The sequence below is a fragment of the Homo sapiens genome, chromosome 5, assembly GCF_000001405.40.
Source record: "Homo sapiens chromosome 5, GRCh38.p14 Primary Assembly".
In the NCBI taxonomy this organism is placed as follows: Eukaryota; Metazoa; Chordata; class Mammalia; order Primates; family Hominidae; genus Homo; species Homo sapiens.
In genome coordinates, this window is record NC_000005.10 from 171,927,020 (window position 1) to 171,939,501 (window position 12,482).

A 12,482-nucleotide genomic window follows, 5' to 3' on the forward strand; every position below is an offset into this window, starting at 1 on the left:
AAAAAAAAATCCATTCTAGATAGACTGAAGATCTAAGTGTAAAAGACAAAGCAGTAAAGCTTTTAGAAGAAGCCATAGGACATCCTCAAGACCTGGGAATAGGCAAAACTTTTTTAAACAATACACAACTGCTAACCACAAAGAACAATGTAATAAATCAGACTATATTAAAATAATTTCTGTTCATTGAAAACATTCAGAGATTGAAAATGCTTGAAAACTGATTTATGGTGATGATGCATCACTGGACTACATATGTGGATTAGTTTTGTGATATGCAAAATATACCACAATATACCTCAATTCTTTCAAAGGAACTAGATGTAGAAGAAAAAAGGCAACTTACAGAGCAAGAAAAGAGTGGCAATACACACAGAATTTTTTTTAACTCACTTCAAACCAAGGAAGAATCACAATCACACACATACTAAATTTTTAAATGAGCAAAAGACTTCCACAGGCACATCACAAAAGAAAATACACAAATGAAGTTTTTTTAAAAAGGAAAAATCAACCAAAATACTGCCACCTAGGGATGACCACTGGACCATTTTGGTACACAGACTGAAAACTGCATATATGTAAGTGAAAATTGTTTAAAACATGCTCTTCGGTTAACTGTTTTTTCCATGTGTCATGCACATCTTTCCACATCATTGTAGTTCTACGTTTTCATTTTTAAGGGCTACAGTTCACTTCATCCCATAATTTCCTTACTCAATACAAGTAGTAACAAACATTACATTTTTTACTATTAAACACAACACTGTAATGAACCTTCATGCCTACTCTGACAATTACCTCTTGGTCAAATTTAGAAATCCATGAGATCCAAAAGGATGGCTGAACTGAATTTCCTTTGCGAATTCCTTGACTAATAATCATTTGTTTTCATCAGAAAAGACTTCATACTACAAGTTATTAAATCTAAGGGTCAATTCTTATTCCTCCTATTTCTTCACCGATCAGCAAGGTTGAGCACTTCCATCTTCTTGATATACTTCATTCACTTGGCTTCCAGGACTCTGATCTAATTCTCAAACCTTCACTACAAGAAACGTTAAAGTTCTTCAGACAAAAAGAAAAGAAAAATTGGATATAGTAAAGGAATGAAGACATAACTGAAAAGAAAAATAGTAAAAATGAGAGTGCATATACATTAATTTCTTTTCTTTAAATTTATAGAAAATATGACTAACTGAAAAGTATAAAATATTGCAGAAAAAATCAAAGAGACAAATAATAGAAAACACAATTCATGTTCATGGATTGCAAGACTTAATATTAAGATCTTCGTACCACCCAAAACTATCTACAGATTTAATGCAATCCCTAAAAAAACCCAACGATGTTTTTTGCGTAAGTAGCAAAATCAACCATAAAATTCATTAGCAATCTCAAGGGACTCAGAACAGACAACATAATCTTGAAACACAAGAATTAAACTGGACTTCAATCAGCTTTGAAAAGCTGGTTTCAAAATTTACTACAAAGCTATTGTAACCAAAACTGTGGAACTAGCATGAAGACATATGTATAGACCAACGGGACAGAATGGAAGATTGTAATCGGTGCATTTCAAGCATTTGACAATATTCAACATCTATTCATGCTTAAAAACACTCAGATAACTTCCTCAATATGATAAAGGTCATATAATGAAACATCATCATACTTAATGTTTAAAGATGGAACATTTTCCCCTTGTCCTGAAGGACAAAGCTAGAATATCCATTCACACTTCTAGTGTGAATTCAAATTTGTGAATTTGAGCCGGGCACAGTGGCTCACACCTGTAATCCCAGCACTTTGGGAGGCCAAGGCAGGCAGATCACTTGAGGTCAGGAGTTCAAGACCAGCCTGGCCAATGCAGTCAACCCCCGTCTCTACTAAAAATACAAAAATTAGCTGGGCATAGTGGCATGTGCCTGTAATCCCAGCTACTTGGGAAGCAGAGGCAGGAGAATCACTTGAACCTGGGAGATGGAGGCTGCAGTGAGCTGAGGTCGTGCCACTGCACTCCAGCCTGGGTGACAGAGCAAGCTCCATCTAAAAAAAAAATAAAAAATAGGCTGGGCAGTGGCTCAAGTCTGTAATCCCAGCACTTTAGGAGGCCAAGGTGGGTGGATCATTTGAGGTCAGGAGTTCAAGACCAGCCTGGCAACATGGTAAAACCCCATCTCTACTAAAAATATTTAAAAAATGAGCCAGTGTGGTGGCACGCGCCTCTAATTCCAGCTACTCAGGAGCTGAGGCACAAGAATCACTTGAACCCTCAAGGAGGAGGTTACAGTGAGCCAAGATCGCACCACTGCACTACAGCCTGGGTGACAGAGTGAGACCTGTCTCAAAAAAAAATAATAATAAACCAATCAATAATTTAAAAAATTGAAAATTCGTGAACTTGAAATTGAAAATCACAAGTTTCACTATAGTCAATGCAACAGAGCAAGAAAAAGAAATAAAAACATAAATAACAAAAAGAATGTAGATGGTATGACTGTCTAACTAGAAAATCCTGCTGAATCTACAAAATAAAAGTGATGGGATGGCCGGGCGTGGTGGCTCAGGCCTGTAATCCTAGCACTTTGGGAGGCCGAGGTGGGCAGATCACGAGGTCAGGAGATCGAGACCATCCTGGCTAATGTGGTGAAACCCCATCTCTACTAAAAATACAAAAAAATTAGCCGGGCATGGTGGCAGGCGCCTGTAGTCCCAGCTACTCGGGAGGCTGAGGCAGGAGAATGGCATGAACCCGGGAGGCGGAGGTTGCAGAGAGCCAAGATCGCACCACTGCGCTCCAGCCTAGGCGAGAGAGCGAGACTCTGTCTCAAAAATAAAACATAAAAATAAAAATTAAAAAATAAAAGTGATGGGATATTAGTGAATTCACAGGACACAAAGACTGACAAAAAAAATGAAGCTACGTAAAGCTCAAGCTCTCAGTATAACTAAAAGGCACAGAACATAAGTAGAAATTTAAATCCTAGTACATCCTTATGCTCCAGCCATAAATCTTCATGAAGATCAAGGGCAGTTCAGGAAAACTGTGCAGAATAAAAAAAGAAGGAAACGAGCAGCAGATAAAAGATTGACATAAAATCACATTATGTATGAAAATACTTAAAAAGCGTCCTGCTAGTTCAGAGTTGATTACAGATAAAGAGGATGCAAGATGCAAAAAGGCAGTCTTCAAAAGATCAGTTTTTAGGAGAAAGGAGTGTACAAACAAAAGGCAAATAGAGGAGAATTTCCTCAACGTGATAAAGAACACCTGCAAAAAACCTACAGCTAACATCATACGTATTAGTGAAAAAGTTGACACCTTCCCACTAAAATCAGGAACAAGGTAAGAATGTTCCCTCTCAACACTGGTTTTCAACATCATCCTCTAAGTTCTAGCTAATGCAATAAGACAAGGAAAGGAAATAAAAAATATACAGATTGAGAAGAAAGAAAACTGTTTTGGTTCACAGGTGACATGATTGTCTATGTAGAAAAACTGAAAGAATTGTTAAGAGTCATCACCACTCCCTAATCTTAAGTACCCAGGGACACAAACACTGCGGAAGGCCGCAGGGTCCTCTGCCTAGGAAAACCAGAGACCTTTGTTCACTTGTTTATCTGCTGACCTTCCCTCCACTATTGTCCTATGACCCTGCCAAATCCCCCTCTGCGAGAAACACCCAAGAATGATCAATAAAAAAAATAAATAAAAAATAAAAAATAAAAAATAAAAAAATAAAAAAAAAAAAAAGAAAAACTGAAAGAATTAACAAAACAGCCCCTGGAACTCATAAGTGATTATGGCAGATCTGCAGTATACACAGTTTATATACAAAAAGTCAATCACTTTCCTATATACCAGCAATGAGCAAATGAAATGTGAAATTAAAAACATATTACCATTTACATAAACACCTATAGATATAATTAGGTATAAATCTAACAATATACACAAGATATCTGTAAGGAAAACTAGAAAATCCTGATGAAGGAAATCAAAGAACTAAATTAATGAAGAGATATTCCATGTTCATGGAAAGGAAGATTCAATAAGGTCAAGACATCAGTTCTTCCCAACTGGATCTATAGATTCAATACAATCTCTATCAAAATCCAGCAAGTTACTTTGTGGATATTGAAATGACTCTAAGGTTTACATGGAGAGGCTAAAAAAAATAAATAATTCAAAATAAATAAATAATAACAAACACAACTGAAGGAGAACAAAGTTCAAGGAATGATACTGTCTGACTTCAAAAGGCACTACAAAACTACAGTATTCACGAAAGTGAAAGTGTGGTACTGGCAACAGAATACAGAGCTAGGTCAATGGAATAGAACTGAGGGCCCACACAATAGACCCACACAAATACAGTCAACTCATCTTTGACTGTGGAGCAAAGTCAATACGATGAAGAGTCTCATCAACAAATGGACATCTATATGCAAAAAAAATGAATCTAGACACTCAGCTTACACATTTCACAAAAATTAACTGAATACAGATTACAAGCCTAAATGGAAAATGGAAAGCTCTAAAACTCCTAAAAGATAACATAGGAGAAAATCTAGATGATCTTAGGTTTGTTGATTACTTTCTTAGACATATCAAAGGCACAATCCATGAAGAATTATTAAGCTGGACTTCATTAAAAATAAAAATCTCTGAGAGACACTGTCAAGAGAATTGAAAAAATATGCCACAAACTCAGAGAAAATATTTGCAAAAAACATATATGACAAAGGACTGTTATCCAAAATACAGAAACAATTTCTCTCTCTCTCTCTCCTCTCTCTCTCTCTCTCTCTCCCTCCCTCCCTCCCTCCCTCCCTCCCTCTCTCTCTCTCTCTCTCTCTCTCTCTCTCTCTCACAGGGTCTCACTCTGTCACCCACAATGCAGTGCAGTGATGCAATCACCACTCACTGCAGCCTCAACCTCCCAGGCTCAAGTGATCCTCCCACCTCAGCCTCCAGAGTAGCTGCGACCACAGGGGTACACCACCATACGTGGCTAATTTTTGTATATTTTGTGGAGATGAGGTCTTGCCATGTTGCCCAAGCTGGTCTCGAACTTCTGGGCTCAACTAATCCATCTGCCTCAGCCTCCCAAAGTGCTGGGATTATAGGTGTGAGCCACCATGCCTGGCCTAGAAACAATTCTTCAAACTCAACAAGAAAAAAGTAAACAACACAATTTTTAAAATGGGCCAAAAACCTTAACAGTCACTTCACCAGAAAAGATATACAGATGACAAATAAACATGGAATATGGAGCATCTCTTCATAAGTCATCAGGTAAATACAAATTAAAACAAAATACCACAACACATCTATCAGCATGGCCAAAATCCAAAATGCAAACACCATGAAATGCTGGAGAAGATGTGGAGCTATAGGAACTCTCATTCATTGCTGGTAGAAATATCAAATAGTAAGGCCACTTTATTTTTTTTAATTTGTACAAATTTATGGGGTAGATGTGAAATTCTGTTACATGTATATAATGTGTAGTGATGAAGTCAAGGTATTTAGGGTTCCCATCACCAAAGTACAACACATTTTTGTAACTATATTCACCCTACTCTGGTGCAGTCACTTTGGAAGACAATTTGGCAGTTTCTTACAAAACTATATATACTCTTGCCCAACAATCTAATATTCATCCTCTTTTTTACTTGTCCAAATGAAGTGAAAACTAATATCCACAGAAAAACCTTAACATGGCTGTTTATAGCAGCAGTTACACATAACTGCTAAAACTTGGAAGCAGCCAAAATGTTCTTCAATAGGTGAATGAATAAACTGTGGTAGGGCCAGGCACAGTGGCTCATGCATGTAATCCCAGCACTTTGGGAGGCCAAGGCAGGAGACTCTCCAGCCCAGGACTTGAGACCAGACTGAACAACATAGGGAGACTCTGCCTCTACCAAAAAAAAAAAAAAAAAAAAAAAAAATTTAGTCAGGCAAGGTAGAATGCACCTGTTGTTCCAGCTACTTGTGAGGCTGAGGTGGGAGGATTGCTTAAGCCCAGGAGGTTGAGGCTTCAGTGAGCCACAATCACACCATTGCACTCCAGCCTGGGAAACAAAGCAAGACCTTCTCTCAAAAAAAAAAAAAAAAAAAAAAAAGTGTGGTACATCCAGACAATTGAATGTCATCCAATGAAATGAGGCATCAAGTCATCAAAAAACCTGGTGGAAACTTAAACATCTATTATTAAGTGAAAGAAGCCAATATGAAAAGGCTACACACCGTGTGATCCAACTAGATGACATTCTGGGAAAGGCAAAACTATGGAGACATTAAAACAATTAGTGATTGTCAGGAAGGATGGATAGGAAGCACACATAGAATTCTTAGGGCAGTGAAACTATTCTGTATGATACTGCAATGATGGAAACATGTTATTATATCTGTCCAAACCCAAAGAATGTACAACACCAAGAATAAATCCTAATATAAGCTATGGACTTCGGGTGATAATGGTGTGTCAAGGTAGGCTCATCCATTGCATCAAATGTATCCCTGTGGTATGGGATGCCCACATTGTAAGAGGTTGTGTGTGTATGTGGGTAGAAGGGATCCTAGAATCCCAGGAGGAAGTATTCTAGGATCCTGCAAGAAAAGAATTTTTAATAACATCCAAAGGATACAAAGCCTTTCCTCCCACCATCACCTGCTTATCCTGCAAAGGAAGCCATGCAGTAAAGAAATAATACTTTGATAAGGAATGCTCTTAAGCTAGGAATCTTATCAACTTAAACTACCTCAAACTGCCAGGTCTGTCTCAAAAAAATGTAGAGACACATGCAATTTTCATCTATTTAAAAAAAAAACTATACAGGGAAAAGTTCATTAAACTCCTACATATAAAAGAAGAGGCAGGGAGTAAGGGAAGGAGGGAAAAACAGAGAGAACTAAACAACATCCCAAACAAGCCTTTCTTAACTAAGGTTCTGTGAGATCATGAAGCCCTTATGAGAGTAATTTTGCAGACAGTTTTCTTAATTTCCCTAAGGATGGTACATAGATAATACCATTCCTGTCATGTATGAGAGACATTAATTCACTATATACAATGTATGCCTTAGTGCGTAAGCGCATACTGTTTTTGAGAAACCTGGTTGAAAAGAGCTACTGCAAACTGATTTAAATATGATCAAACAGGCATGTGATGTTACTTAAAAACACTCTGAAACACTGAATCAGAAATTGAAAACTTAAGACAGAAATGTACCAAAAACCAGAAGAAATGTAATAAGAATTGACCTAACTCAAAAAATAAAAACAAAATTATAACAAACAAGAATACATTAAAATACCCCCAAAACAGATAAAGCAAATGAAAATTTTAAAAATTTGAAAAGTAGGTTGGGCACATTGCCTCATGCCTTGTAATCCCAGCACTTTGGGGGCCGAGGCATGCAGATCACTTGAGGCCAGGGTTCAAGACCAGCCTGGGTAAAATGGTGAAACCCCAACTCCACTAAAAATACAAAAATTAGCCAGGTGTGGTGGTGCACACCTGAAGTTACAGCTACTTGGGAGGCTGAGGCACAAGAATTGCTTGAACCCGGGAGGCAGAGGTTGCAGCGAGCCAAGATAGCGCCACCCTACTCCAGCCTGGGTGACAGAGTGTGACCCTGTCTCAAAAAAAAAAAAAAAAAATAGAAAATTATTAGGAAACATTGAAGACAAGCAAGAAAACAACCCAAGAGAATAAAAATGAGATGAAGAAATAAGCAATATGGGCAGTGAGAAAGTAGTTAACATGGAAAACAAAGGAGATCCAACCTAAATATAATTGGAGTTTCTAAAGAAAAAAATAAAATAAAAATAACCTTTAAAACTATAATCCAAGCGGTTCCTAGGGTTGGATGGGTGAGGGATATAGGGAATGACAGCCTAAGGGTACAGTGGTTTTTTTTGTTTGTTTTTTGTTTTGTTTTTGAGACGGAGTCTCGCTCTGTAGCCCAGGCTGGAGTGCTGTGGCTTGATCTCACTGCAAGCTCCGCCTCCTGGGTTCATGCTATTCTCCCGCCTCAGACTCCCGAGCAGCTGGGACTACAGGCGCCTGCCACCACGCCTGGCTAATTTTGTTTTTGTATTTTTAGTAGAGACGGGGTTTCACCGTGTTAGCCAGGACGGTCTTGATCTCCTGACCTCGTGATCTGCCCACCTCGGCCTCCCAAAGTGCTGGGATTACAGGCGTGAGCCACCGCGCCCAGCCGGTAGCGTGTTTCTTTTGGTGGTGATACAAATGTTCTAAACTGACTGTGGCACTGGTTATACAACTCTGTGACTATACTAAAAATCACTGAATTGTACACTTTAAATGTGTAAATTTACAATATTTGAGTTATGTCTCAATAAAGCTGTTATTTAAAAAGAAAAAAAAACGATAATTCAAAAAGCTTTCCAGAGATAAAAGGAAACCTGAACTACATGTTGAAAGGGGCTCCAGGTAATAGGGGAAACTGGCCCACAGCAATAAACTCCAAGAGATATCCTAAGACAATTGTTAGACTTTAAAAATAAAGAAAAAATGTTTTCAATCCCCACCCCAAATTTTTTTTTTAATTTAAGAAGAAACCTTTAAAGAGAAAGAGCATTAATTGGATTGGCATCAAACTTCTCGAAACAACACACCAAGCAAGGCATCAGTGGAGCAGCATCTTCCAAAATTTTAGAAAATAAAGGGTAAAGGTTTCCTTGAGTAATCCTGAGATGATGCAAAAAATTGTCAAAAAAATTAATGGTAAACATTTAAAACAATTATGGCTCTAAGAATAAACAAGTCTGAGCCAGGTGTTGTGGCTCGCACCTGTAATCTCAGCACTTTGGGAGGCCAAGGCGGGCTGATCACCTGAGGTCAGGAGTTCGAGACAAGCCTGACCAATATGGTGAACCCCCATCTCTACTAAAAATACAAAAATTAGCCAGGCATGGTGGCGGGTGCCTGTAGTCCCAGCTACTCGGGAGGCTGAGATAGGAGAACTGCTTGAACCTGGGAGGCAGAGGTTGCAGTGAGCCAAGATTGTGCCACTGCACTCTAGCCTGGGCAGCAGAGCTAGACTCCATCTAAAAAAAAAAAAAAAAAAAAAAAGAATAAAACAAGTCTGAAGATAACAGAAGAATCACATGTCATATTCAGACAAAGAAATAACACAACTTTAAAACTGCAGGCCAGGTGCAGTAGCTCATGCCTGTAATCCCAACACTTTGGGAAGGCAAGATGGGAGGATCCCATGAGCCAAGGAGTTCAAGACCAGCTAGGCAACACAGCAAGACCCATCTCTTAAAAAAATTTAAAAATTAGCCAGATGTGGTAGCCCGCACCTGTAGTCCCAGTGACTTGGTAGGCTGAGGCGGGCGGCCCCAATCACTTGAGCCCAGGAGTTTGAGGCTACACTGAATTATGATCATGCTACTGCACTCCAGCCTGGGCAACATAGTGAGAGCCTGTCTCACCAAAAAAAAAAAAAAAAACAGGAAATAGAGGCATTACAAAAATTATAATTAAAACTAACAAAAATACAAACCTCTCTATAAAAAGAAATTTCAAAAATAAAAGAGCAAAGAAAGCACATCATGAACAGAAACAAACTAAAAGAAATGCAGAGAGACATGGATATAAATACACTATACACACTACTCTCACTACAAGACAGCTCAAGAAAACAAAAAATAAAAATTCATAAGCATCAGTAAGGCAGGCAGGTCTTACAGGATATGATAACCTGTTTACACAGACTAAACTTGCTTTTCCAGCACGTGTAAAAAATTTCTGAAAGCTTATCATATATTAGATCACAAAGAAATAAGTTCAATAAAAAAGAAAAATTAGAAAATAAGAGCCTCTGATCAAAAGATAATAAAACTAAAAGCAATTCCTAGAAAAAGAAGAACAATTCCTTCAATCAATGTTATGGAACAATTTATAGAGCTTCTGGCCCATTTGTTCTTTAAAGGTCTGGTGGAATTCTCTGTGAATCCACACTGACCTGATACATTTTTCTGATTTAATTCTTTGACAGGTTTCTCTATTCTTTTCTTCATAACTATTGTTGGATAAGAGAACTCAACATTCGAAAGATGACAGTTCTCCCTAATTTATAAGTTTAACATTTCCCCAATAACCCCACAAGAAAATTCTTTATGGAGCTAGACAAAATGATACTCAAGTTCATATTCAAAAGCAAACTTACATGAGTATTCAGTAAAAAATACAAAAAAAGAAAAGTGGGGAATCAGTCCTACCAGACATCAAAATACACCATAAATAAGCCTCTCTACTGAAAAGCAAGATACTTTCATAGCACATGAATACACAAATACTCCAGAGTAGGGTTGGCAAGCTTTTTCTGTAAAGGGTCAGATGTAAATATTTTGAGCTTTGCAGGACTCACTGATTTTGTCACAACTACTCAACTCTTCTGTTATAGGATGAAAGCAGCCACAGATGATATGTAAGTGAATGAGTGTGGCTGTGCTCCAATAAAACTTTATTTATAAAAACGCAGTGGGGGCCGGATACAGTGGCTCACACCTGTAATCCCAGCATTTTGGGAGGCCAAAATCATTGAGCTCAGGAGTTCAAGACCAGCCTGATCAACATGGTGAAACCCCGCCTCTACTAAAAAATACAAAAATTAGCCAGGCATGGTGGCACACGCCTGTAGTCCCAGCTACACAGGGGGCTGAGGTAAGAGGATCACTTGAACCTGGGAGGTTGAAGCTGCAGTGAACCATGATTGTGCCACTGTACTCCAACTTAGGTGAGAGAATGAGACCTTGGCTCAAAAAAAAGCAAAAAAAAAAAAAAAAGGAAAATTTAAACTAGATAAAAATTTTAAACTTTTGCACAGCATTTTTATTAACTACCATAAACTAAACCTTAAATGACAAACTGGAAAAAAAATTTGCAGCCTATGTCACAAATAAAAGAACTAATATCCCTAAAAATTTCTTTAAATTGAGGGAAGTAAAAAAAACACCAAAATCCCAATAAGAAAATGAGGAAAAGTCATAATCAAACTTTGTTTTGTTTTGAGACAGTCTCACTCTGTCGCCAAGCCTGAAGTGCAGTGGCACGATCATAGCTCACTACAGCCTCACTCTTCCAGACTCAAGTTATCCTCCCACCTCAGCTTCCCATGGAGCTGGGACCAAAGGCACATGCATGCCACCATGCCCAGGTAATTTATTTTTATATTTTGTAGAGACAGGGTCTCCCTATGTTGCCCAGGCTGGTCTTGAATTCCTGGGCTCAGGCAATCCCCAGCCTCAGCCTCCCAAATCACTGCGGTTACAGGCGTGAGCCACTGCACCTGGCCATAAACAGATTTTCAAAAAACATAACATGACCCTTAAATAGGAAAAGATGTTCAGATTTACTCATAATTAAAGAGATGCAAATTAAAGCTACACATTTCTCACTTAACATATTGGCAAATATGTAGAATTGATAACACATTCAGTCAATGAAGCAGTGAGGAAATAGGTGCTCTTGTGTATTTCTGGTGGGAAGGCAAATGTGTCACAACCCTTTTGGAAGAAAATTTGTTAATATTTAACAAAACTAATTGTGCATTTACTTTTTGATCAGCAATTCCACTTACAGGAATTCTCCCTGAAGATACACTAATTCAGTAACAATATGAAAATACATATATACAAGGTTATTCAGTCATTGTTTGTAATTTCAAAAAAAATGGAAACAACCTACATGCTCATACGAAAGACACTGGCTGAATAAACTATGGCATATGAACACAACAGAGTACTATGCAGCCATAAGAAAGAATAAGGAAGGCCCCTGTTGACTGATATAGAATAACTTTCAGTATACACCTTTAGGTGAAAAGGCAAAGTGCAAAAGAATATATACTGTATACTACCTTTTGTGTAAAAAATAAGCAAAGATAGGCCAGGCGCAGTGGCTCACACCTGTAATCCCAGCACTTTGGGAAGCTGAGGCAGGTGGATCACGAGGTCAGGAGTTTAAGACCAGCCTGGCCAACATAGTGAAACCTCATCTCTACTAAAAATACAAAAAAAAATAGTGGGGCGTAGTGGCAGGAACCTGTAATACCAGCTACTTGAGAGGCTGAGGCAGGAGAATCACTTGAACCCGGGAGGCAGAGGTTGCAGTGAGCCAAGACCATGCCACTGCACTCCAGCATGGGTGACAGCAAGACTCTGTCTCAAAAATAAATAAACCAAAAATAAACAAAAACTGAGAAAGAGAGATGTAATACATCAGCAGAAACAAATGAATAACATAATCATACTTAATGGAAGAGGGTGAAAACCCACCCAAGTGACTCTTGAACTCAGTAATGGGACTACACAGTCATAAACATTATTTTTAAGAACTATAAAGAAATCCCCAGGCGTGGTGGCTACACCTGTAATCCCAGCACTTTGGGAAGCCAAGGCAGGCAGATCACTTGAGCCTAGGAGTTCAAGACCA

At 38.3% G+C, this 12,482-nt stretch overlaps 1 protein-coding gene across 12 annotated transcripts in view; it reads right to left on the reverse strand.

The window, feature by feature from the left end:
- FBXW11 (F-box and WD repeat domain containing 11) overlaps positions 1 to 12,482 on the reverse strand; it is a 145,090-nt gene that overhangs the window by 65,471 nt on the left and 67,137 nt on the right. The window contains exon 1 of one of the 12 annotated variants that reach the window (XM_017009279.2): positions 802 to 3,757. The exons of the other annotated variants lie outside the window; for them this stretch is intronic. Within the exon in view, the coding sequence (XP_016864768.1) occupies positions 802 to 885 (84 nt within the window). The 5' untranslated portion in view covers positions 886 to 3,757. Of the gene's footprint in view, positions 1 to 801; positions 3,758 to 12,482 lie in introns of those variants that run through there. 12 annotated transcript variants of the gene reach the window in all.